At 36.6% G+C, this 27,711-nt stretch overlaps 1 protein-coding gene and 1 pseudogene across 1 annotated transcript in view; one reads left to right on the forward strand and one right to left on the reverse strand.

The window, feature by feature from the left end:
* APLF (aprataxin and PNKP like factor) overlaps positions 1–27,711 on the forward strand; it is a 112,578-nt gene that overhangs the window by 43,251 nt on the left and 41,616 nt on the right. Inside the window, exons 4-7 of the mRNA NM_173545.3 lie at positions 2,245–2,392; positions 2,713–2,845; positions 15,226–15,407; positions 27,037–27,392. Coding sequence (NP_775816.1) covers positions 2,245–2,392; positions 2,713–2,845; positions 15,226–15,407; positions 27,037–27,392 — 819 coding nt within the window. The remainder of the gene's footprint in view (positions 1–2,244; positions 2,393–2,712; positions 2,846–15,225; positions 15,408–27,036; positions 27,393–27,711) is intronic.
* On the reverse strand, positions 17,179–18,704 carry LOC100420887 (putative UPF0607 protein ENSP00000383783 pseudogene; annotated as a pseudogene).

Genomic DNA, 27,711 nt, shown 5'->3' on the forward strand with positions numbered 1-27,711 from the left:
TGGCCATAAAGAGGAATGAAATATTTACATATGCTACAACACAGGTGAATCTTGAAACATTATGCTAAGTAAAAAAGCTAGACACGAAAGACCACATACTGTATTTCATTTATATGAAATATGTAGAAAATGTGATCTTTGGAGACAGAAGGTAGATTAATGGTTGCGAGGAGCAGGAGGAAGAGGCAATAGGAAGAGATTGCTAATGCATATGGAATTTCTTTTTGAGGTGTTGAATATGTTCTAAAATTAGATATTGGTGATAGTTGCACAACTCTGTTAACATACTAATAACCACTGGATAGTACACTTTAACAGGATGAATCTTATGACTATATGGATTATTTTTCAATAAAGCAGTTATAAAAAAGGATAACTCAATTACCTTTACTAGACTACATTTAACTTTCCAAGTTTTAATTTTTTATTTAAAATATTCTGTAGTGATGCTTTATAAATCCTGTGATAGTTGATTACTCATAGATGTATTTGAAGATAAAATAAAAATATATATCACAGTGACAGTGTTTTATATTTAAATAAATGTGTAGTAGAATAATTTGTACTTGTACTTTTTGAATAAAATGTTAAATAGAATTTTGTTCTGAAATTTTTTTTGTTACGTTTATTGTGGGTAACTATTAATAAAAATTACATATGGACTATAGAGTGTATATGAATTCATCTCAGACTTATGCCACAATAGAAAATAAACTAGAAATGGAATTGATGATGTTACTTAATTCCTAATACTATAAATTGTGAAAAATCATCAAACTACTATTGAATGTTTCTTAATATTTTTCATGTTAAATATTAAGAAAACTTGAAAAAAATTATAATTTGGAAGTACACCTGTAACCTGTGAGTAAAACAGGACTGGGTATTGTAGTGGAGTGAACTTTCATAGCTAGGACAATCAGACATTTCCAAGATATGTCTCCAGCACCTGGCACAGTGTTTGACACACAGTAGAAGTTTTAAAAATATTGATTGAATGAACAAAAAATGTGATGCTGCATAGTAATTTACTCTAAGTAAATTTTCTCTTTTGGCTGATTCTTGCCATTGACATTGAAGGCTGCCTTTGAAGGAGATTATTCCCTGTATAAGAAATACTAAAACGAACAAATAAAACAAGCGGTTAATTAGACTTTTCTCAGCTAGACACACTTCTAAAATCTTATATCTTTAGTTTTTAAAAATTCACATTTAATGAGGACAATTTACACACAGTAGAGTTCATCCCTTTTAAATGTGCAATTCAATGCACTAAAAATGATAATATAGTCATTTAAAATACTACTAGAGTGAGATATAGAACATTTCCATTTCCCCAAATGTTCTCTCCTGGCTCTTTGTAGTCTGTCCCTTCACTCCACCCCCAATCCCTGGCAACCATTAATATGATTTCTGTCCCTGTAACTTTACCTTTCAGGATGTCATATAAATGGAGTAATACAATATACCTTTTGTGTCTGGCTTCTTTCACTTAGCAAAATGCCTTTGGGATTCATCTATATTCTTGCACACATCAGTAGTTCATTCCTTGTTATTTCTGAGTAGTGTTTCATCTATAGTTTCAAATTTTCGAAAAGACAAATTCGTTGGATCATGTCTATGCATACATAAGTATTAATAACCCAACAACTTTGGATGACCTTACTGCATATTGCAGAAGTATGAGGTAATTGGTTCTGCTGGCATGTCCCACATGTGACCATGGATGTTCCTGTTCCAGAACATTTAGCTTGCAGCTATACTACAAGTTTGGGGATATTTCATAAGTAGCTCTTTAATACTTCCCTGAACTTCAGTAGCAGTTATGTGTCAACTTAAACTCAGGATTTTATTTATTTTTTCTCCAAACGTCTAACTAGCTTAGCTGATGCCCTTGCAGTTTACATTATCTCTCTAGAGGCTGGGTGGTGATCTTAATTTCTGTGGACCATCTGGACAAATATTAAATAAAGAGCTCTTAAGCCTTGACAGAAATGGCTGCCACACATCTCAAAAATAATTGTGGTTTCTAGGCCCATGATTTGGAAAGATTGATGTATTTTATGGCAATACAGCAGGTAGGAAATAAAGAACATATTCTAGTCTATATATTCTAGTATACTATAATCTGCTTTTTTTGGTTTTGCTAAGTCTGAGTAAAGGGACATAACTTAGATGTAGTTCTAAGGCAGCAGAAGTGTGTTAAATTTAAAATTAAAGACCAGTTTCTATTTTATCTTATAGAAACAGTCAAGTGCTTGATGAAGATAATATATTGAATGAAACACCAAAATCCCCCGTGATTAATTTACCTCATGAGACTACTGGTGCCTCACAACTGGAAGGAAGCACAGAAATAGCCAAGACCCAGATGACTCCCACAAATAGTGTGGTGAGAAATTTGATATCTCATCCATTTATAACATGTTCTTCAAGTTATTATGAAGGCAGAAAAGACAACTGAAATTAGGCCTATTATGACAATATTGCCAGCATTTATCTACTTTTGCTGATTTTAAGTTAAGCTCTAGAGAATATGGCAGTAATCCAACAGTTAAACTAATAGAAATAATTTCTTTGTTCAAGAAATTTTATGAACTCAGTCTACAGTTGCATATGGGTATTTTAATGGTAGTATTCTGCAAAGCAGATATTTTGCAAATTCATTCAAGATGTGTGATTATTTTTAGTAATTTATAGGTGTCTTTTTAGTCTTTCCTAGGTGAAAATAGAGACTGCAATAAGCAGCAGCCAATCCTTGCCGAGAGGAAAAGAATCCTTCCAACTTGGATGTTAGCAGAACATTTAAGTGATCAAAACCTTTCAGTACCAGCAATCAGTGGAGGTAGGTTTTTGTTTCTACTAATGCTGACTTTAAAGGAAACATTAAACAGAATTTGAAAGCTTTTCTGAAGAAAAACTATAAACTAGTTCTATAGAGATAGAGTAGAGGTTGTGTAAGTGTATAGCCTAGCCTAGTTTTTTTAGTTGTGAACATGAAGTCTAAAACATAGGCTATTACTTTATGCCATTTATCAAATACCACCCTAATTTTTTTTCATTTAACAAGTGCTATTATGTGCTAGAATTATATTAATAAAGACTTCCAAACAAACCTCTTGGTGCTATGTCTAGGATAAAAGGCCAGCACAATAAGAGGGTTTAATTTGATTTTTAAAAATGCCAGACGAATTGATATACTTTCAAGTTTACTGATTCTTTTTTCTGCCATCTCTAATTTGCTGTTAAGTCTATCTAGTGAATTATTCATTTTAGTTATTGTACTTTTCAGTTCTGGAATTCCTCTTTGGTTCTTTTGTGTAAGTTTATGTTTCTCCGATGAGATTCCCCATTTATTCAATCATTTGGTGTATTTTTCTATAAGTCTTTGATCATATTTATAATAGCTGCGTTAAAGTCTGCATCTACGTACAACTTTGCCATTTCAGACTTAGTTTTTATTGACTGCTTGTTTTCTTTTATGGGGTCACATTTTCCTGTGTATTCTGTGCCTAGTGATTTTCTATTGATACTGGATATTATGGATGATACATTGTAGAGGCTCTTGATTTTGTTATGTTCCTCTGAAGAAGTATTTTTGTTCTGATAGCAATTAATTTGGCTGGATTCAGAGCCTACCCTGTTTCCCCTGTTATGTATGGCAGCTGCAGTGTCTAGGTAGTTCCTTCACTTTCCAGCTGCTGCGTTTTTCTCTGGGTCCTTGGGCCCCATACAAATGTAGTTTAGGAGTCAGCCAAGAATTTGGGTCAAGTTTTTATGTAGGTTTTTGCTCTTGCCCCTTCTGTGGCTGCCTTCCCTCCAGGATTTTATCACTCACCTCTGCCTGTTCTCCTAGCCTCAAACTCTCTGCTCTGACCATTTAAACCAGTAAGGTTGCAGCTTTCTGCCACGTGTGACTTGGAGAAGGCCTTCAGGAAAAAAGTCACAAGTTCACAAACTTTATAGATTATAGTTAATTTTCAACCTTGACACTTCTCCAACTCTGCCTCTTTGGTCAATCTCCAGTGCCTACAGATAGTTTGAAAAATATTTTTTTCCTGAATTTACAATGATTTTATTGGCAGTAATTACTTTAGTTATGCTGTTTTTCCATTTTACCTTGAACATTGTTTTTTAAAAATTAACAGCACAAATGAATACACATTTTAGTTAGAAAATTACTACTCAGTGCTTTGTGTATTCTGCACAGTGGTCATAGAAGTCTTCTAAAGTTTTGGATCACATATATTATGTACAGAATATATCTTATTTAATGGTAGTTTGGATTATACTAGGATCAAAGTGTTCTCATGGGAAAAGTGCACTATACTTTATGTGTTAAGGGGCATGTGGTTTAATCTGGAGAATTTTCCAATCTAAGCCTAAGACTTTTGCAGTAAGTTATTCTACTACAGTTGTTTTCAGTTCTTCCCACCCCCACAGTTACTTCATGTGTAATATATATATATATATATAGGCAATAACATCTGTGTATGTGTTGATCCTCAATTTGTAGGAAGGAAATGGGGAATTGTAGTGGGGAGGGGCAGACACTTTCCCTCAGTAGAATAATTTCTCTGATAAAAGAAAGACTTAACTTGACCAAAAATTGGACCAATGTGAGCTGGTCCCTGCAAACAACTCCTTTTCTTTCAGAATTGTTTTGTACTGCAACTGCTTCTGTGCTACTGCTTATAATAATAGTTCAACATGTATTTCATTTCAAATACGTTTTCTTTCCCTTGGTAGATGTCCCACATAAAATATGAAGCACGTTTTTGGGCACTTCTCTTTGAAAATACGAATGAGAGTAATTTGACATTGGTCTGGAATATCGCATGTGTACAATGTACTTAAAATGCTAAAGCTTCAAAATAAGATAGAAGAGTCTTTGGATTCAGGTAATCTTTTTATAAACTAAGACCGTGGGAGAAGTACTTTATAAGAACAAGATTAGGTTACTTAATTCCTTTAAAGACAGTTTAGTACTTTAGAACAGTTTAGTACCTGAATCCTGCTAATTAAAAGTTAAAACAATTAGACTTATTCTGTGGTGCTGTTATTTTTTAAAAAATTGTTTTGTTTGTTTAAGTAATAAATGATGGGGATCAATAGGCCAATATGAGAGATTTTTAAAAATTAATTCGCAGGATGCATTTTGGTTTATTCAGACATGAGTAACTTTCATATGTCTTTTGCAGCTTTAGGACCATAACTGTGGTTATTGGTCTTTATGTAGATTATCTGAAACTAACTTGATATTTTGGAACCTTTGGAATCCTTAGGAACAGGACAAATAACATGAATTCATGTTATTTGACTTATCCAAGATCATATAATAAATGCCAGAGCTGTAACTGAGACCTAGCTCTGACTAACTTTAAAGCCCATGTACTAAGGCATATCACTGTATAGCTGCCTAAATTTACTCTTTATATGTTTGGTTTTTGTTTGCCTTTTTTGATCTGCCCTTGCGATCTCTCCTGGATCATCTCTCAGTTTAACTCTTTAATCCTTTATATGTAGGGGAATTTTTGCTGTTGTCAGGCTTTTTCATTTTTCAGCCAATACAGTTTATTATTATTATTATCATCACTATTATATATATATTTTTTATTTCAACAGGTTTTTGTGAAACAGGTGGTGTTTGGTTACATGGATAAGTTATTTAGTGATGATTTCTGAGATTTTGGTGCACCCATTACCCGAGCAGTGTACACTGTACCCAGTTTGTAATCTTTTATCCCTCACTCCCCGACCCTTCCTCCCAAGCCCTCAAAGTCTGTGGCATCATTCTCATGCCTTTGCATCCTTATACCTTAGCTCCCACTTATAAATGAGAAAATACAATGTTTGGTTTTTCATTCCTGAGTTACTTTACTTAGAATAATGCTCTCCAATTACATCCAGGTTGCTGCGAGTGCCATTATTTCATTCCTTTTTATGGCTGAGTAGTATTCCATGGTGTATTTGTATATATATAGAGAGAACAAATCTGGAGGCATCACGTTTTATATATATAATATATATAATTATATATAATGTTATATATAATATAATAATATATTATATATCCTATATAACATTATATATAATATATAATATAATATATATAATATAATATATAATAATATAATATAATATAATTATATATAATAATATATGTTAATATATAATATATAATAATATATTAATATATAATATATAATAACATGTTATTAATATATAACATGTTAATATATAATATGTTATTAATATATAATATACTAATATATAATAATACGTTATTGATCTATAACATATTAATATATGTTATTGATATATAATATATCAATATATAATAATGTTATTGATACATAATATATTAATATATGTTATTGATATATATAAATATATTAATATATGTCATTACTATATAATATATTAATATATGTCATTACTATATAATATATTAATATATGTCATTACTATATAATATATTAATATATGTCATTACTATATAATATATTAATATATCATTACTATATAATATATTCATATAGTAATATATGTTATTACTATATATTAATATATCTATATATTACTATATATTAATATATCTATATATGTTATTACTATATATTAATATATCAATGTTATTACTATATATTAATATATCAATATGTTATCACTATATATTAATATATCAATATATGTTATTAACATATGTCAATATATGTTAATAACATATAACAATATATCACTAATATATGTAATTAACATGTAACAGTATATCACTAATGTTATTAACATGTAACAATATATCACTAATATATGTTATTAACGTAACAATAATATATCACTAATATGTTATTAACATGTAACAATAATATATCACTAATATATGTTAATATATAACTAATATATCACTAATATCTACTGTTAATATATAACAGTAATATATCACTAATATAATGTTAATATATAACAGTAATATATCACTAATATGTGTTAATATATAGCAGTAATATATCACTAATATGTGTTAATATATAGCAGTAATATATCACTAATATGTGTTAATATATAGCAGTATTATATCACTAATATGTGTTAATATATAACCGTAATATATCACTAATATGTGTTAATATATAACAGTAATATATCACTAATATGTGTTAATATATAACAGTAATATATCACTAATATATAATAATATATAACAGTAATATATCATTAATATATAATATATCATTAGTATATAATATTAATATATATTAATATATAATATATCATATACAATATTAATATATATTAATATATAATAATATATTATTAATGTATAATAGTAATATAATATATTATCAATATATATTACTAATATATAATAATATATCGTTAATATATAATAGATCATTAATATATAATGTTAATATATTATGAATAGATAATATATCAGTATATAATATTAATATATTAATATATTATATATTATTTAATAATATATAATATATTAATAAATAATTATATATTAATATAGCAATATATTAATATATGACTGTATTATATTATTAATATATAACAATATATTATATATTATATAATAATTTATTATATAATATATAATAATATATTATATATTATATAACATATTAATAATACATAATAACATTAATAATATATAATAATGTTAATATATTATTATATTATATATTAATATATAATAATATATCAATAATGTATCATGAATATATAATATATCAATAATATATCATGAATATATAATATATCATTAATATATCATGAATATATAATAATATATCATTAATATATCATGAATATATAATAAATCAATATATCATGAATATATATCATTAATATATCATGAATATACAATAATATATCATTAATATATCATGAATATATCATTAATATATAATAAAATATTAATAATATATCATTATATAATAAAATATTAATAATCTATCATATAATAAAATATTAGTAATATATCATTAATATGTAATAAAATACTAATATTATGTCATTAATATGTAATAAAATATTAATATTATATCATTAATATATAATAAAATAATAATATATCATTAATATTAATATATTATATAATATTATTAATAATACATAATAATATGCTATTAATATACAATATCTGATAATATATTATTAATATATAATAATATATAATATATGATTAATATATAATAATATAATATATAATTAATATATAATAATAATATAATATATAATTAATATATAATAATATAATATATAATATATAAAACATATAATTTGACATTTTATATATATATAAAGACTTGACCAAAAATTGGACCAATGTGACTATATATTTATAATATATAAATATATATTATCTATATTTATTACATAATATATTATATATTATATATCATTTATATATAATATAATATATTATATGTATATTGTATATATAAAATGTCAAATTACTCTCATTTGTATTTTCAAAGTGAAGTGCCCAAAAACATGATTCATATTTTAAGTGGTACATCTACCAAGTGAAAGAAAATGTATTTGAAATGAAATACATGTTGAACTATTATAAGCAGTAGCAAAGAAGCAGTTGCAGTACAAAACAATTCTGAAAGAAAAGGAGTTATTTGCAGGGACCAGTTCACATTGGTTCAATTTTTGGTCAAGTTAAGTCTTTCTTTTATCAGAGAAATTATTCTACTGAGGGAAAGTGTCTGCCCCTCCCCACTACGATTCCCCATTTCCTTCCTGCAAATTGAGGATCAACACATACAGAGATGTTATTGACAAAAAAAAATTACACATGAAGTAATATATATAAATATATGTATATATATATATATTAGTTTCTTTATCTACTCATTGACTGATGGGCATTTGGGCTGGTTCCATGTTTTTGCAATTGCGAATTGTGCTGCTATAAACATGTATGTGTAGGTGTCTTTTTCATGTAATGACTTCTTTTCTTCTGGGTAGTCAGCCAGTAGTGGGTTGCTAGATCAAATGGTAGATCTACTTTTAGTTGTTTAAGGAATCTCCACACGGTTTTCTGTAGTGGTTGTTCTATTTTACATTCCCACCAGCAGTGTAAAAGTGTTCCCTTTTCACCACATCCACACCAACATCTATTATGTTTTTGATTTTTAAATTATGGCCATTCTTGCAAGAGTAAGGTGATAATGCACTGTGGTTTTGATTTACATTTCCCTAATAATCAGTGATGTTGATCATTTTTTCATATGTTTGTTGTCCATTTGTATATCTTCTTGTGAGAATTGTTTATTCATGTCCTTAGCCCACTTTTTGATGGGATTATTTGCTTTTTTCTTGCTGATTTGTTTTTTCTTGTAGATTCTGGATATTAGTCCTTTGTCAGATGCATAGTTTGCGAAGATTTTCTCCCACTCTGTGAGTTGTCTGTTTACTCTGCTGATTATTTCTTTTGCGTGCAGAAGCTTTTTAGTTTAATTAAGTCCCATCTATTTATCTTTGTTTTTATTGCATTTGCTTTTGGGTTCTTGGTCATGAAGTCTTTTCCTAAGCCAATTTCTAGAAGGGTTTTTCTGATGTTATCTTCTAGAATTTTTATGGTTTCAGGTCTTAGATTTAAGTCTTTAATCCATACTGAGTTGATTTTTGTATAAGGTGAGAGATGAGGATCCAGTTTCATTCTTTTACATGTGGCTTGCAAATTATCCCAGCACCATTTGTTGAATAGGGTGTCCTTTCCCTACTTTATATTTCTGTTTGCTGTGTCAAAGCTCAGTTGGCTGTAAGTATTTGGCTTTATTTCTGGGTTCTCTATTCTGTTGGTCTATGTGCCTGTTTTTATACCAGTACCATGCTATTTTGCTGGCCGTAGCCTTGTAGTACAGTTTGAAGTCGGGTAATGTGATGCCTCCGGATTTGTTTCTTTTGCTTAGTATTGCTTTGGCTAGACTTGTTTTGGGCTGTCTTTTGGTTTCATATGAATTTTGGGATTGTTTTTTCTAGTCCTGTGAAGAATGATGGTGGTATTTTGATGAGAATTTCATTGAATTTGTAGATTACTTTTGGCAGTATGTTCATTTTCACAATGTTGATTCTACCGATCCATAAGCATGTGATATGTTCCCATTTGTTTGTGTCATCTATGATTTCTTTCAGCAGTGTTTTGTACTTTTCCTTGTAGAGGTCTTTTACCTCCTTGGTTAGGTATATTCCTGTTTTGTTTTTTGTTTTTGTTTTGTTTGTTTGTTTTTTTGCAGCTATTGTAAAGGGTTGAGTTCTTGATTTGATTCTCAGCTTGGTAACTGTTGGTGTATAGCAGTACTACAGATTTGTGTACTCTGGTTTTGTGTCCTGAAACTTTGCTGAGTTCATTTATCAGTTCTAGGAGTTGTTTGGATGCATCTCTTGGGTTTTCTAGGTATATGATTATATCGTTGGCAAATGGTGACAGTTTGACTCAGTGACAGTTTGACTCATTGACTCTTTACTGATTTGGATGCCCTTTATTTTTTCTCTTGTCTGATTACTCTGGCTAGGAATTCCAGTGCTATGATGAATAGAAGTGTTGAAAGTGGACAGTCAATATAGTTCTAATTTATTTTATTTTTTATGTCTCAGGTACTAGTTCTTGGATGTTGTCATGAGTTTCTTAGGCCTGGGCTAAATTTTTTTAAATGTCCATTAGTGATGGAGAAGTAAATATATTTAGGCAAAGGCTTTCAGAGTCTCCTCTTTCTTGATCTCCAGTTATCTCTGTTCTTTCAGCCTTCCAGGCCACAAGACTAATCATAACTCTTAGGTTAGGATACTCCTGGTAGATTGAAAAAGGAGCTTTTATATTTCCACTGGTATCATGCTATTCTATAGAGCTCTTCTTCCTGCATCTTCTAAGCTACCAACGTGAAGTTGTAAAAAGTGGCACATGCTGATGAAGATTGAACTAGTCCCCATACTGTTTGGCTTGCATTTAATTTTGTACTGTGAATATTTTCACCATGGCAATTTGATGCAGATTATAAATATTGAGCATTTATACATTATTGTAATTGGACTACAGTTCAAAATGTACTTACATTTATGTAAAGTGCTAGTTATTCTGTTTACTTTGTTTCCAGCAACTTTGCCAAGTTATTTAATTTTAGTAGTTTTTGAACCTTATATTTTCTAGCTGTAGAATCATGTTATCTATAGAATTAGGATAATTTTGGCTCTTCTGACCTATCTACTGCTTTCTTTTCTTGTCTTTTTAGCTGAACCCTATAAACTTTAAATAAAAATGGTTAAAATTGGTCTGTTCTTATTCCTGATTTTAATAGAAATTCTCTTAATATTTTAGTATTTTAAGGTTGATATTAGATTCTGATAAATAGTCATATCATGTTTAGTATGGTTCATTTTATTTTTACTATTTTTTCAGGAATAACTTGAATTATTTAAAAATGTTTTGGTATAGAAATAGTTTTGCATTTTCATGTGTTAATGTAAGTAATGATATTGGTAGATATCCTAATGTAATATACTATGCTTGTGTTCCTGGAATAAGTTCAATCTTATGATACCTTTTTATTTTTATACTCTGTTAGATTAAATTTGCTAATATTTGGTTTAGGACATCTCTTATCTATATTATGGTTAGTCCGTATTTTTCTTTATGTATGCCTTCTATGTGAGATTTTAATGTTAGAGCACTGAATTATTTCCATATACGGTCAGGCACAATTTGAATAATTGAAAAATTATGTTTCTTCATGGAACTCTCCTGATCTGGGCCTGATGCCTGCTTTTAGTAGTTGATAATTCTGGCAGAGGAATAGGTAAGTTAGGCCAGGAAAAAAAAGAAGAATGAAACACCCAGAAACAGATAAGAAAAATACGTTTAATTTATAAACACATATCAGTTCAAACTGATGGAGAAAGGATATATTATTCAATAAATGATGTTGAGAAAATTGGCTTTCCATTTTGAAGAAAATAATGTTAAAGTACTACTTTATGCCATATTCAGAAACAAATTTCTATTGAATTAAGTCTTAATATAAAAATTAAAACAAGGCATTTGAAGAAAGTATGGGAAAAATATTTTGATTATGCCTGTACACTTTCTTAAGATGATAGGGAACCTGGAATCCTAAGGGAAAAACTGGTAGATTTACCTAAATAAAAAGGAAAAATACTTCTATGCAAAAGACACTGTAAATAAAGTCAGAGGCAAATAATAGCCTGCCAAACAATATACTGAGATATATTATCTACCACACTTATAAAAGAAGGTTTTTAAAAAATTGTCTACTTAGTAACAAAAAAGATAAAACTCAGTAGAAATTTTGGGCATTATGTGTGACATACTACAGAATAATAAATACGCATAGTAAATATTACGACTTTACTATCAGGTAAATTGAAAATAACTAGTTACCATTTTTTGTTCATTAACTTATCAACATTTAAGCAATTGATAATATCCACTGTTGGCAGAAAGGAGTATTATCGAACATTGCTTGTGGAGGTATAAATTAGTATAGCCTTTCAAAGTCACTTGTAGTGTCTTTTAAATTTTTAAATATACAATACACTTTGATCCAGAAATTGCAATCCTAGGTATTTAAACCACAGAAATAATATTTGTACTTTTAGTCCTGTATATGTTTATGCATATGTATTTGTAGATATATTTGCTTAAACATAGGAAAAATTGAGAAATATACGCATGCAATAGTTAATATAGCTGTTTGGGAGTAGTTCCTCTAGAAGGTAAGATTGGATGGATGTATTTTTAATGATACATATATATATATAATTGAGCTATTGTTCATGTAGTATTAGTATAACAGCTCATATAAGTGCCATTGGTAATAGTTAAAATCAAGCTGTTTTGTATTAATAGTTAATTTCTTTTATATTTCTATCATTTAACTTTAAATAAAAATGGTCAAACCTATTTTGGATTTCAGAAGAATATTTGCCATACCAGATATAAAGACTGTTGTCAGCCATTTTAAGCTATTCATTTTTTATATACTCTTTGTGAAGAGCATTTTAATAATATCAAAATGGCTTCTCATGCAGAAAAAAAAAATTAGCTCTAGTCCCTAGAGGTGGTTGATAGTAAGGAATTTGGAGTTTTGAAAAACTTGAGTATTTTAAATATATATATTTTTTAATTTTAGAATTTTGAGTACATGTGTATCACTTGGAATATATAAACTACCATTTGTGTAGAAGCTGTGTCTTGTTTAATTTACTGTAGTTCTTAGCATAATCAGCAATACCACTAGTTCAGTATGTCACTTGGTTTAATTCATAACTGTTACAGCATTTGGTCATTTGTTGTACCAAGCTACTCAGTCCTATTAAGTCCTGTTTATGACAGTTTCCAAAAATGATATGAACTATTTTCTAATTTAGATTCATGATGAATATTTAAATAATTTAGTTAAAATTTAGTTATTAGAATAGTTTATGCCTAAGTTTGATAATATGGACAGTATTCCATTGGCATTTCTTTCCTGAACTTAATGAGGGAATGTTATTTCAGGCTACTTGAATGTCCTTTAGAACTGGACTAAGCAAACTACAGCCCATGGGCCAAATTAGGCCCACTGCCTGGTTTTGTAAAGAAAGTTTTATTGGAACATGGCCATGGTCAGCCATATATGCATTGTCTGTGACTGCTTTCATGTTACAAAGGCAGAGTTGAGTAGTAGTGACAGACACTGTATGGCCCACAGAGTTTAATCTGTTTACTCTCTGGCTTTTTACAGAAAAAGTTTGCTAATCCCTGCTTTAGAACATGGAATAATGACTACAGATTGCTTTATATACCTATATCCTGGCTCTTAAGGGAATCTTTGGACAAATTGTTTATGTTCAAACTTCATTTAGTCAGAAATATTTATTGAGCATCAGTTTTGTGCTAGGCACAGTTGAAGGTACTGGAGACAAGGGAGGAACAATGAACAAGGCATGTAAAGTTTCTGCCTTCATGAAGACATCACTCTCGAGTAGAGGAGAAGGACAATTTGCCATGGACAATTATGAATTTGTTAACAAAATATGATAGTGTCTTAGGTTTGCCAACTGCATTAAACTTTGGGTATTTTATGGGATACAATGTCCATTGTTATTGAGATTTATTTACTTTATCAGCAAAGTCTGTAGAAGTCACTCTCCTGTTTGGGTTATTTTGGGTTTGCCTGTAATCCCAGCACTTTGGGAGGCTGAGACAGGCGGATCACCTGAGGTGAGGAGTTCGAGACCAGCCTTGCCAACATGGTGAAACTCTGTCTCTACTAAAAATACAAAATTTAACCAGGCATGGAACAGTGCACACCTGTAATCTCAGCTACTTGGGAGGCTGAGGCAGGAGAACTGCTTGAACCAGGGAGGCAAAGGTTGCAGTGAGCAGAGATTGTGCCACTGCACTCCAGCCTGGGTGACAGAGCAAGACTCTGTCTCATTAAAAAAAAAAAAAATTAGCTTAAGTTTAATTCCTCACTGTGGATGTTAGGGTTTAATAAGTAGTATATGTAAAGTTCATTGGATAGCTATAAGTCAGATTTTCTGTTAGAGAAATTCAATTCTACAATTAAAAAAATAACATGTATCAGGTACTCTGCTAGATAGTTTACATATCTTACTTCATTTACTTTTCCTAATAATTCCATGAATTATAATTCCCATTATCCAGATGATGAAACCAAAGTTCAGAAAGGTGCGATGAAATAGTTAAGGGATGGAGCCTCCATTGGCATCTCAGCCTGGTAGAATGCACGGCTGGAGCTCTTGGCCATTTTGCTGCTTAATGCTTACTGAGATTTGCACATAAGTGTTTCCAAGTTAGCATTACTATAAATGGACCTTTAATCTTACTTGCCCTTTTATCCTTTTTATTTTCTTTCTTTCTTTTTTTTTTTTTTTTTTTTTTTTTAACACAGAGGCTCGCTCTGTCACCCAGACTGGAGTGCAGTGGTGTGATCTCGGCTCACTGCAACCTCCACCTCCTGGGTTCAAGTGATTCTTATGCCTCTGCTTCCTAAGTAGCTGGGACTGCAGGTGCACACCACCACACCTGCCTATCTTTTGTATTTTCAGTAGAGACCGGGTTTCACCATGTTGGCCAGGCTGGTCTCGAATCCTTTTTCTTTTTTCTTTTTTTGATATGGATTATTGACATTTGAAGATACAGAAGATAATTTTCTTCTTTTTCTTTATGTGTTTAAGGTAATGTAATCCAGGGAAGTGGAAAAGAAGAAATCTGCAAAGATAAATCCCAGCTAAACACAACCCAGCAAGGAAGAAGGCAATTAATTTCATCAGGAAGTTCAGAAAATACATCAGCAGAACAAGACACAGGAGAAGAGTGCAAAAATACTGATCAGGAAGAGTCTACCATTTCATCCAAGGTGATTTTAAAAAATTCATTATTTGATTGTTTTTTTGTTAGGTGTTTTAGATAGAAATTAATCATATGCTATATAAAGAGAAATCAAAACTGCCTTTTATTGTTGAGTTTATGAAGACAAAACTAGCCCAATTTTTTCAGACTTACTGAAACTAATCTTTAATATAGTATTTGTTGAAAAGTTAGAAATTTTAGGAAGTGGCTAACTATGGCGACCGCCACGGAGCAGTGGGTTCTGGTGGAGATGGTACAGGTGCTTTATGAGGCTCATGCTTACCATCTTATTTTGGAAGGGATTCTGATACTCTGGATAATCAGACTTCTTTTCTCTAAGACTTACAAATTACAAGAACAATCTGATCTTACAGTCAAGGAAAAAGAAGAACTGATTGAAGAGTGGCAACCAGAACCTCTTGTTCCTCCTGTCCCAAAAGACCATCCTGCTCTCAACTACAACATCGTTTCAGGACGGAGTCTTGCTGTGTCACCAGGCTGGAGCGCAGTGGTGCGATCTCGGCTCACTGCAACCTCCACCTCCTGGGTTCAAGCCATTTTCCTGCCTCAGCCTCCCGAGTAGCTGGGACTACAGGCACAAGCTACCATGCCCGCCTAATTTTTGTGTTTTCAGTAGAGACGGAGTTTCACCATGTTGGCCGGAACGATCTCGATCTCCTTTTTTTTAATTAAAAAGTAAACTTTAATGTCGAAAATGCAAACTTGGGGAAGGCAGAAAGATCACACACAAGGCTGTCACTTCACACTTGGAAGGTTGCGCAGTAGCTGGGCAGAGACGCTCCTCACTTCCCAGATGGTGAGGGGGCCGGGTAGAGGCGCTCCTCACTTCCCAGACGGTGCAGGGGCTGGGCAGAGGCGCTCCTCCCTTACAAACAGTGAGGGGGCCGGGCAGAGGTGCTCCTCACTTTCCAGACAGGGCAGTGGCTGGGCAGAAGCGCTCCTCACTTCCCAGATGGGACGGTGGCCAGGCAGAGGCGCTTCTCATTTCCCAGACGGTGAGGAGGCGGGGCAGAGGCACTCCTCACTTCCCAGATGGGATGGTGGCCAGGCAGAGGCGCTCCTCATTTCCCAGACGGTGAGGAGGCGGGGCAGAGGCACTCCTCACTTCGCAGACAGGATGGTGGCTGGGCAAAGGTGCTCCTCACTTTCCATACTGTGAGGCGGCCGGGCAGAGGTGCTCGTCACTTCCCAGATGGGGTGGAGGCCGGGCAGAGGCGGTGCTCCTCCTCAATTCCCAGATGGTGGGCAGCTGGGCAGAGGCGCTCCTCACTTCCCAGACAGGGCAGTGGCCAGGCAGAAGCGCTCCTCACTTCCCAGAGTGTAAGGGGGCCGGGCAGAGGCAGTCCTCGATTCGCAGACAGGATGGCAGCCGGGCAGAGGCGCTCCTCACTTCCCAGACAGGGCGGCGGCCTGGCAGAGGCACTTCTCACTGCCCAGACAGGGCAGGGCCCGGGCAGAGGCGCTCCTCACTTCCCAGACTGTGAGGCAGCCGGGCAGAGGTGCTCGTCACTTCCCAGAGAGGGCGGGGGCCGGGCAGAGGCGCTCCTCACTGCCCAGATGGTGCGGTGGCCAGGCAGAGGCGCTCCTCACTTCCCAGACGGTGGAGTAGCCGGGCAGAGGCGCTTCTCACTTCCCAGACAGGGTGGCGGCCTTTCAGAGGCACTCCTCACTGCCCAGACGGGGCAGGGCCCGGGCAGAGGCGCCCTTCACTTCTCAGACTGTGAGGCGGCTGGGCAGAGGCGCTCGTCACTTCCCAGAGAGGGCGGGGGCTAGGCAGAGGCGCTCCTCACTGCCCAGACAGTGCGGTGGCCAAGCAGAGGCGCTCCTCACTTCCCAGACGGTGGAGCAGCCGGGCAGAGGTGCTCCTCACTTCCCAGATGGTGCAGGCAGAGATGCTCCTCAGGTCTCAATCTCTTGACCTCCTGATCCGCCCACCTGGGCCTCCCAAAGTGCTGGATTACAGGCGTGGGCCACCATGCCTGCCCTGCTGTCTCTTCTTTCTCCTCCTAAGCAGCTGTCTTAGTCTCCTGAATTTTGATGTTCTACTTAACACCCTCATGTTCTTACGCATGTTGCCCTGCTGGAGGCGTCCTTCTCTTTGGGAAGCCTGACCCACCAACAGTGCCTCAGGAGATAGACATGGAAGCTTAGCCGGTGGGGGCCTCTCATCTCTCTCCCACCTCAGTTGCAGGGGAGGGGTTGGTTGCAGCTGCAGTGGTGGCCCCGACAGTTTTCTTTTGCGGGACCTGTGGCCGGCAGCTCTGGGTGGAGAAGACCTACTTGATCCAAGAGCTGCAGGATCCTTGGGCTGCATGTCCTCCCCCACCGTCAGCAAGCCTGGAGAGCTGGGCAGGTGGTCTTTACCCAGCACCTTCAAGGCCGCCTTCTCTGGCCACAGGGAGCAGCCCGGAACTGGGGCAGGGAGCACTGTTGGAAGTGGGTCAGGCTTCCCAAAGGGAAGGATGCCTCCAGCAGGGCTGTGTGAACTGGCGACTCCATGGCCCTTGGAGTAGAAACTCACTGCATGCACCTGGGCCTTGTCAGTCTGGTTGTTTTCTGTCAAGCTCTTGAGGTGGACATTTCCCTCCAAGGGCCTGGGATTGTACCAGGAGGAAGTGAGGTTTCCCTGAGTCTCCAGGGGCCTAGAGGTGGAGGCTGCTTCCCCATTGCTACAGGGGCCCCTTTTATTGTCCTCCTGCTCCTGGGTCTGTACCTGGTCTTTCACCTCCGTTGCTTCTTTGGGCTCTTCTGCCCTCACCTCCATTTTCGGGAGCCTGGCTGGGATCACCTGCTCATCTAATGAAGGAAGTTGAAGGTTAAACTTGCCTCTGAGACGAGGGATCCTCACGGGGCTGAGGTATCCAAACATCCTGGAGTTGCGAGCAGACAGCACGGGTTTCTTCCTTGAGGGGGGGCTCCAGACAACAGGAGGCAGGACCCTCTGTGGGGTGCCCGTGTTCCAAGGGATAAGACACAGCCTCATAAGGGTGCCGTCCCACCTGCCTGGAAAAGAAGGCCCAAGATGTCGCTGACGGTTGAAGAGGAGTGGGAAACAGCCAAAGAGTCCTGGGGCAGGCACAGGTGCAGGAGCCGCGGGGTGAGCCCGGCCAGCTGGGAAGGCCTCACGGACAAGACGAGCAGGTTGCCGATGGCATGGCCAGGACCTGCGGCGGAACCAGGAACAAAATACGCTTAGTGAGTTGTCCATTTTGAGCGAGTTGTGCACAGACGAAACTAAGGGTCAGAAGCGGAGAGGATACTCCTAAGTCACCCACTTCTCTGTGGCTGGGTGCACACTGGGCATCTGGGAGTTTATGACATCACCATGGGGCTGGTGACAGAGCCAGGGTGTGGAGGAGTGCTTAGGAGCCCAGCGAGGGTGCCTGCAAGAGGAGTCAGAGGGCAAAGGGTGAGACCCTTCCACCGGTCCAGCTGGACTCTAGCCTCAGGGACGTCCTGCTCCTGGGGGCAGGTGTGTGGCCCTGGATGGGCCCCCCGTGGGGCTGTTGGGGGTGTGGGGCTGATCCGCCAGAGCCCTTCTGCCTGGCGCCTGGCCCAGGTGCTGGCTGGCACCCAGTGGCCCTGTCTTGGCCGGCCCCGTCCCCCGGGTTACAGGGCCAGAACCTGGAAGCAGAGCGCAGGACCAGCCAGATCCCGCCAGGCTCCCCCGGGGCCTCTCCAGTGCCTCTGTGCCGCCTGGAGCCAGGCCCGCCTTCTCCATGGCTGCTGTGGCCTCAAGGGCCACCAGCCTCGCTCCGCAGGTTTCCAAAGAGAGGACGCGGTGCCCTGACCTGACTGGATGCACCTCTTACCACATGCCTCCCTGGCAGGCAGGGTCTCCACTTTTTACAAATTTGCCTGAGACCATTCCTCAGGTCATTCAGGTGGTCATGGCCCAGCCAGGCTTTGAACCCGGGCTGTGCGATTCCACAGCTGGCGCTCTGGCCTGTGTGCCTCATGATCATGGATACAGCATCTATTCTTATTTTTTCCTGTAGTCCTGGGGTACTTAGCACCATGGCATATCTGTAATAAGCACATGCACACCTCGAAGGAGGTCTTCACTTCAACATACAAGTTGACCATGGCATGCTCTGGGCTCCAGTCCTCTACAAAGATGTAGGGCAGGAACTACCAGTTGTCAGCACAGCACCATCCCACATTGCTCTTCTAATGGAGCCTTTCACCCCAGATGTTCTTTCTCGTCTGATGGGAAGGATCCAAGTATGTAAAGATTATGTTCTAGATCAGCTTTGGTCTGTCCTAAAAGAAATTTGCCAGTGGATTATTCCATATGGATAAAAGTCAGTTTCTCTGGTCTTCCTGGAATGTGTCTAGAAAGCAAATACATTATTTACAAGTTCATAGTAGATCAATGTATTGGATTAAAATATGATAAACATAATTTGGTTGTTGTGAGCATGCCAGCTTGGTCAACTATTCACCACACACATGATGCCCTAAATATAACTCTAGGTTTTCTTATGCCCAAGAGAGGGACATACTCTTGGGTGTCTGGACTAGGGAAACATGTATGAAAAACCATTTGGCCACTCTACATCTTGTTATTGGAGAATTGAAACCATCTATATTCAAAGATATTATTAAAAGGCAAGAAGTTAAAAAAAAATTTTCAGACTGGAAAAAAAAGGGAGGACCACTTGACTCTGGTCATAATTTGGCACCTCCATTCTGAAAACCTGACTTCTCTTATTCCATTGGTTGTTCTCAGATTGCATTTAACCACCATTTTCTTGCTAAGTGTGATGAGAAAAACAAATTGATGGGATAATTCTTAAGAGCCTATTGTAGGATCACTTCTGGGCTGACAGTATTTCTAGACCTTCTTTCCTCTTTCAATTTTTGCTAACTCACTAGGATGGTTTGGCTGAAATACGCATTCTGTAACACTGGGTACTTAAAGAAAATGAGGACTATTTATTGGAAGTACTTAAAAAGAGAGAGAAAGATAGAGATGGCCCCAGGACAGAAAGTTCAGGCATGCTTCCTCTCTAGCGAGAGGTAGCTTATGATGACAGTTTTCATGATCCTTGTAGTCCCATGGCTGAGCTCTGTGGATCCCTGTCTTAGTCTCAGGTAAAACCAAAGGAAGAGGATTGGTCATGGAAGACTGTGCACCGAAATGATTGAAATGCCAACATCTACCTTAGAGGTTAGTCTTCGAATATATTCTCCTCACTCCTACCCTCTCTCCCAGAGAGAGGAACCAGCTTCTCACTGGAGCCTGTCTTCCAGCTACAGAAGTGGGGCCTGGTCGCTATACACTCAGTTCCTTTGCTTTACTTATGGAGGCAAGCTTAATAAATGAAAACAAAATGTTTTCTGGCTCACATATATTTTCCATAAAACTTATTAAAACAAAATTTGTTTTGTATAAACTTTGAGCCCTTATGTACTCTATTCTCTGAACTCTGAACATGTCAATTGACGTTGCCTTTTTTCAAGAGAAATTATTGTGTTCAGAAGAAAATCTGTAGTATACGTGTTTTCCTCTGTTTATCCCAACCCATAAGGTTTGATAATCACAAGAAAAACTTTGAGAAACATCTTAATTGATAGATTATAGAGAGGAGCAGATCCAAGATATTCAAGCTATTTGTGAGGTTTTGATGACATCAAGGGAGTATTACAACCAGGTCCGAGGAATGCCCAAGTTCTATTTGGCCAGTTGCTTTTCCTTCCCTTCCTTGTGAGGAAGATTTACCTCTTCTAGCACAGGAAAAATAAGGCTTAAATTTTCATGATCCTTTATGCAGGGCTCTCTGGTAAAGCTGAGCCAGAGAATATGACTTAGACTGAAAATCCCAGCAGAGCCTTTCCAAACCCCACCCTCCATCCCTGCCCAGTTTGAGTCTGAACACTGAACCTTTAGAACAGCTAGTCCTAAAGGGATAGCTGTAGTGCAGAGCAGGTGAGAGAGAAAACAAGAGGCTAGGTTCACCTATCTATTCTAATGGCAGGAGGTTGCCAGCTACAAAAAACTAACAACAGTTTGGCCAGGCCTACATTTGGATCAATCTACTTGGAAAGAATTACATTCTCTTAGGGAAAAGTAGGAGAATCAGTGGAGAGAAGGGACAAAAATCACTTATGCCCAACTAGACCTTGTTTCTGAGATTCTGATTCATTTGGTGTGTGGAGCCTGTGCATCAGTGGTATCTTAAACTCTCCCAATTTTAGTGTCCCTTCAAAATTAAGAGCTACTGTTGTATCATCATTGAACACCTCAGAGGAAACTGAGGCCCAAGGTCACATTGTTAGGAAACTTGGCTTCAAATGTAGGTATTTTCATTTTGGGTATAATGAATTTTTCTACCATACGTATTAGACTATGTAAAGAGTTTTGTGACTGTAGTAACTTCTCTTCATAAGACAGTTGTCAGAAATAGTCTATATTTTTCATCAGTTCTTGTATGTCTTTCTACAACTCCTTCCCAGTTATGTGACTTTCTAATTTAGATGTGAAAATGAGGGTACTTGAATTGATTAACTTTAGTGAAAAGGATGGTTGCCATGGTTTGAGTGTTTTTATCTCCTCTAAAGATTTATGTTGAAACTTAATCCTCAGAGCAACAGTATTGGGAGGTGGGCCTAATGGGAGGCTGTTTAGGTTATGAGGGCTCTGTGCTCATGAATGGATAATGCTGCTATAAAAAGGGATTGTGAAGCTGGATGCAGTGACATGCACCTGTAGTCCCAGCTACTTGGGAGGCTGAAGCAGGAGGACTGCTTAAGCCCAGGAGTTTAAGGCCAGCCTGGGTGACGTAAGGAGACCTCATCTCTAAAAAAAAGGTCGGGGGCTTGGCTTGTAGAAGTGGGTTTACACTCTTTCACTCTTCTGCCATATAAGGGCACAGCATTCATCCTTTCATGCCCTTCCACCTTCCCTCATGTAAGAATGCAGTAAGGAGCCTCACACCAGATGCTGGTGCCTTGATCTTGGACTTCCCAGACCCCACAACTGTGAGATAATAAATTTCTGTTCTTTATAAATTTTCAAGTTTGTGATATTCTGTTATCACAGCTACAAAACAGACTATGTATTTCCTTTATAATCTATATTATATTATAATCTAATGAGAACTCTTGTAAATGACAGAAGGAAGCCTAACTGAAACAACATAAGCGAAAATAGTATGGTAAAGTGTTTTAACTGTCTATTGCTGTGAAACAAGCTACTCCAACTCTTAGTGGCTTAACACAACATGATCATGTCAGTGATTATGATTATATTCTGCCTTATAATTGTGTGGGTTGGCTGGGGTCAGCTGGGCAATTCTTTTATGACATGTTTTTGGTGTCAGCTGGGCTTCATTCAGCTGAGAACTCAGCTGAAGATGAAGCATCTGTGATAGCTTTACTCGTGTGAATGGTGCCTCAGCAAAGGTTGATGGAATGGCTGGGGGCTGGCTGGGCCCACCTCCCTCCCTGTACCATGAAGTAGCCTAGACTGAGCATCTTCACCTGACATCTGGGCCCCAAGAGAGTGATGTCAAAGCTGTTAGATCTTTTAAGGCCTAGAACTGGAATTGTAATTTTTGCTGAATTCTTTTGGTCAGAGCAAGTTACCAGGTCTCATAGGGTGAAGACAGCAGTGTGACCAGTTCATAGAGAAGGGCCCTTGAAATGTTTTCAGTCACAGAGGTAATCCTGGCAGCTCACTAGAGGAGAGATTGGAAAAGAACAAGATAAAAGACTTGGAGGTAAGGGAAGAGATTGTGGCATTAACAAAGTGAAGAAATAGAGAATCTAAACTAGGGCAGTGACTTTAAGGATGGTAAGAAGTATTGGATTATAAAAGTATTCAGGAATAAAATTGTAGGACTTCTTGCTTGGATCTGGGGAGAGAGGGCAAGAAGGAGTAAAAAGCTTCTAAATTTCTGGCTAGCATGAATAGATGAAATATGTTGGCAGAAACTATGGCAGAGAACTCAGAGGCAGAATGTCAGTTTTGACATTTAGAGTTTGAGGAGCATAGAACATTGAGAAAGAAATGTCTGGCTATATGAGTTTGAAGCTCAGGAGTGAAGTTGGGGCTAGAGGTTAGGAGTTTTAGTCTTTAGCGTTAGTCAGTGTTAATGGGATTGAGACAGGACTTTTAAGGTAATTTGTCACCACAGACATTCTTGCCAGGAGCAGTTTGGAAACAGCAATAAATTACTTGATTTAAATTGTTCTAGGTGGAAGTTCTTTATCTTGTCCCTTCTAGTACATAACACTCAGATGGTTGAGGGGCAGGGGAATGGCTTGTTTGAGAAGTTAACCGGCTATTTTAATAGCCTTAATAATACATTCCCACCACCTCCAAACACCCAGGTCACCCTCTACCAGCTCCATGCTCTTCCGTCCCTCAGGTCTCTAACATGTATATTTACATTGTAGGGGATTTGGCCACTCTATCATGAGTCGCCAGCCTTCCACATTTAGTCCTGCCCATTTTCATCTAATGTAAGAAATAAGCAATGTGGGATGCTTAGGAAATATAGAGCTCTCTGCCTTTCTCCTACTTCTTCCAAGTACAGAGCAACTTCCATGTTTCCTGTTCCCTCACTCGTCAGTTCAGTGACTTACTCTAGCTCCTGAGCTTTTTAATTGGCACAGTGCAAATTTATGTCTCAGCAAACTTACAAATTACTGCATGTAATGGATTTTGGGGTCATTTATAAATAATTTAAACCATGAATGTTAAATTCTTGAATGCCAAGGGTGTACTATAAATCAATATTTCATGGAGTTCCATAAAGAGCATTATGATTTCCAGCTTTTGTGCCTCTTAAAATATATTCGAGAACCCCTGATCCATAGTATTGATATTTGGGACTTTAACATTCCTTTCTCTTTTAGAATAAGTTAACATGTTAAACCTATTCCTTGTGAGGATTTAAAAATAAAACAAACTCTTCTCTAATTCATGGAAGTAGATGGAGTTGAAATATGATACTATGGATTTTGTTATATTTCATTTTCATTGGCTTATTTTTTATTTTTAAATGGCAACATAATAGATGCTTATTGTCAAAAATGGAAGTATCAGAAGCATTTGAAGTAAATAATGAAAACCTCCATTTGCCTCATCCTTCGACCTCATTGCGTTACTAATTTTTTGGTTTGTATCCTTCTAACTCTTTTCATTTGGATTTACACAGATGAATGCACACATAGATATATAAGGAATTTTTTTTAAAAGCTAAATGGTACCAAGTATGGATATTATTCTTGTTCAGTTAAAAAATATCTTTAGGTGTGTCATTATTATTTTAATGTCTGCATAGTATTTCATAGTAAGAATATAATTAATTTATTTAACCACTTCCCTAGCTGTGCTCTTTTTTTTTTTTTTTAATGTGATAAGATATTGAGTGGGATTGTTTCCTTGTCCCAGAACTGCTGCTAAGGCTCAAAGCTGGGAATAGAAGTACTAATAAAGTATCCCATGTTAAGGGGCCCTCAGCAGTAAGAAACAGCCCTTTCCCTTTATGGTTTATTGAAAGGTATGAAAAGCGATTGCCATCCCAACCCCCTAGGCTTGATACAAAGGGAATTGAGAGGCCAAAAGGTTTTAAGGTTAAGAGAAGTGCAGTGTTTATGGGGGAAATTATTTCTTCCTTTTCTAAAATCAAGAGAAGAGGGGCATTCTAAGATAATTACTTGTGGAGCTTGGAAATACCAGCAGGAACAAGAGATACATTTTATTGAACATCTGTTAGCCAGTGGATTTGCTGATCTGCTCCACTGCTACCTGAAAAAGGAAAAAGAAAACTGGGGAGAACTGACCCAGGGGGAACTGCCTAGTAGGGAGGTGGGTTAGGATTGCCCAATTCTCACTCGAGAGTTCCAGTTGCTGGTACAGACCAGTTGGTCCTGGAGTTGGGGGGTTGAGATTGGGGTGTACTTGTGCAGCGTGGGAGCAAAGAGCGTATGTTTTAGAGAGACATGACATGAATGTTGCCAGTGTAGCCAAAGGATTGCTTTCCCCATAGGTTATCTGTTACTATACAGGAACCATGATAAGATCTAGGTTCCTTTTTTCAAGGCAGTTAGTCAGTTTGGGTAGCATTTTAATGTACTGTTTCTTAAAAAATGAAATATCTTCTTAAGAAATTTAAGCTATTGAATATTAGGTCATGTAAAACCAGCTCTTTTTCAGATGGCATCCAGCATACATGAGTCTTTAGTTATAAGTGGAAGCAAACATTGATGTGTATCTGGTATGTTGTTATCACATCCTAGAAATGGTTACCAGGAGAACTGGGGTATATCTGAGCATTGTTTCTACTCCACGGGAAGTATAAGTAATTAAGGGGTCATTTTTAACAGAATAAGACCAGGCTTATTGTTTGTGCTGTTGGTAAGTACAAATTATAAAGGTTCTGCAGTGCTAATGAGAGTATTTATTTGGTTCAAAGCACCTTCAGTTTGGTTAAACTCAAAACTTTATTAAGACAAATTTAAAGGAATCCTATCTTTTTCCAAGTTGGTCAGAACATAGCTTTATGCAAAATTTTCCGTGAGGGCAAAACAGTTTTGTCATTCAGCTATGGTAAAATCATGATTACATTTAGAGGGCAGAAATAAAGTATTGCAGTAGCTTAGAAGAAATTATAAGGGGCTAGGCATGGTGTCTCATGCCTGTAATCCCAACACTTTGAGAAGCCAGGGCAGGCAGATCACCTGAGGTCAGGAGTTCGAGACCAGCTTGGCCAACAGTGAAACCCCGTCTCTACTAAAAATACAAAAATTAGCTGGGCATGGTAGCATGTGCCTGTAATCCCAGCTACTCGGGAGCCTGAGGTGGGAGAATCACTTGAACCTGGGAGGCGGAGGTTGCAGTGAGCAGATATCGTGCCACCACACTCCAGGTTGGGAGACAGAGCAAGACTCCATCTCAAAAAAAAAAAAAAGAGAAATTATAAGGACCGTGCATGTTAAGAACATGACTCATTGTTGAACAGTGACATTTAAGAGAAGTTAAAGATTCAAATGAAAGCAAATGTCTTCTCTTATATTTTATTTGTATTTTCTGGTTATTTTTCACTGAATGTTTGACATGATTGTAAAGGTTTGATACAACTGTAAATTTCTTTTCTTTCCTTTTTTTTTTTTCTTTGAGATGGAGTCTTGTTCTTGTTGCCCAGGCTGGAGTGCAATGGTGCAATCTCAGTTCACTGCAACCTCTGCCTCTCAGGTTCAAGCGATTCTCCTGCCTCAGCCTCCCAAATAGCTGGGATTACAGGCACCCACCACCATGCTCAACTAATTTTTTGTATTTTTTAGTAAAGACGGGGTTTCACCTTGTTGGCCAGGCTGGTCTCAAACTCCTGACCTCAGGTGATCCACCCGCCTCAGCCTTCCAAAGTGTTGGGATTACAGGCCTGAGCCACCGTGCCTGGCCAAATTTCTTTTCAAAAAACTAAAAATGTTTTAAGTTATTAAACTAAGCGCATAGAAAATAGTGGCATTTAAGAACTTTAAAATGTGAATCTTGAAGTTTTAAGTTTACATTTTGCATGGATCTTGTAGTTTTGTGCTGTTATGCTCATATCTTTTTAAAAATGTTTCATTTATTTCTGATGTTTTTCATATTTGTTTTACAGGAAATGCCACAATCATTTTCTGCAATCACATTAAGTAACACAGAGATGAATAATATTAAGACTAATGCACAGAGAAACAAACTTCCAATAGAGGAACTTGGTAAAGTTTCTAAACATAAAATTGCCACTAAAAGAACACCACATAAAGAAGATGAGGCAATGAGCTGTTCTGAAAATTGTTCGAGTGCCCAGGGCGACTCACTTCAGGATGAGTCTCAAGGGTCTCATTCTGAGTCCAGCTCTAATCCCTCCAATCCTGAAACTTTGCATGCAAAGGCAACTGATTCAGTTCTACAAGGTTCTGAAGGAAACAAGGTCAAGAGGACATCCTGCATGTATGGGGCAAACTGCTATAGGTAAAATGAAATTACAGTAACATTTAATTCCATTATTTTGATAGCGTGTAGCTATGTAGATACATGCTACAGTATATTAAAAACTTAATAAAACCCACTGGCCTAAAGGTTAGGGGCTTTATCGTGTTTCTACTATTTGTACTTCCTCAGTATATTTTCTAGAAAATCCTTTTAAGGCTTTTAAGATACAGTGGGAGAATTAAATGTTTTATATATAGACATGCTGACTAATGTGAGGATCTGAATACTGGGGAATCCAGACATGAAGACTGAATCCCCCAGATCTAAATACCTGTTATTTAGTCTTTTCTTAAATATT

The sequence above is a fragment of the Homo sapiens genome, chromosome 2 (genome assembly GCF_000001405.40).
Source record: "Homo sapiens chromosome 2, GRCh38.p14 Primary Assembly".
Lineage (NCBI taxonomy): Eukaryota > Metazoa > Chordata > Mammalia > Primates > Hominidae > Homo > Homo sapiens.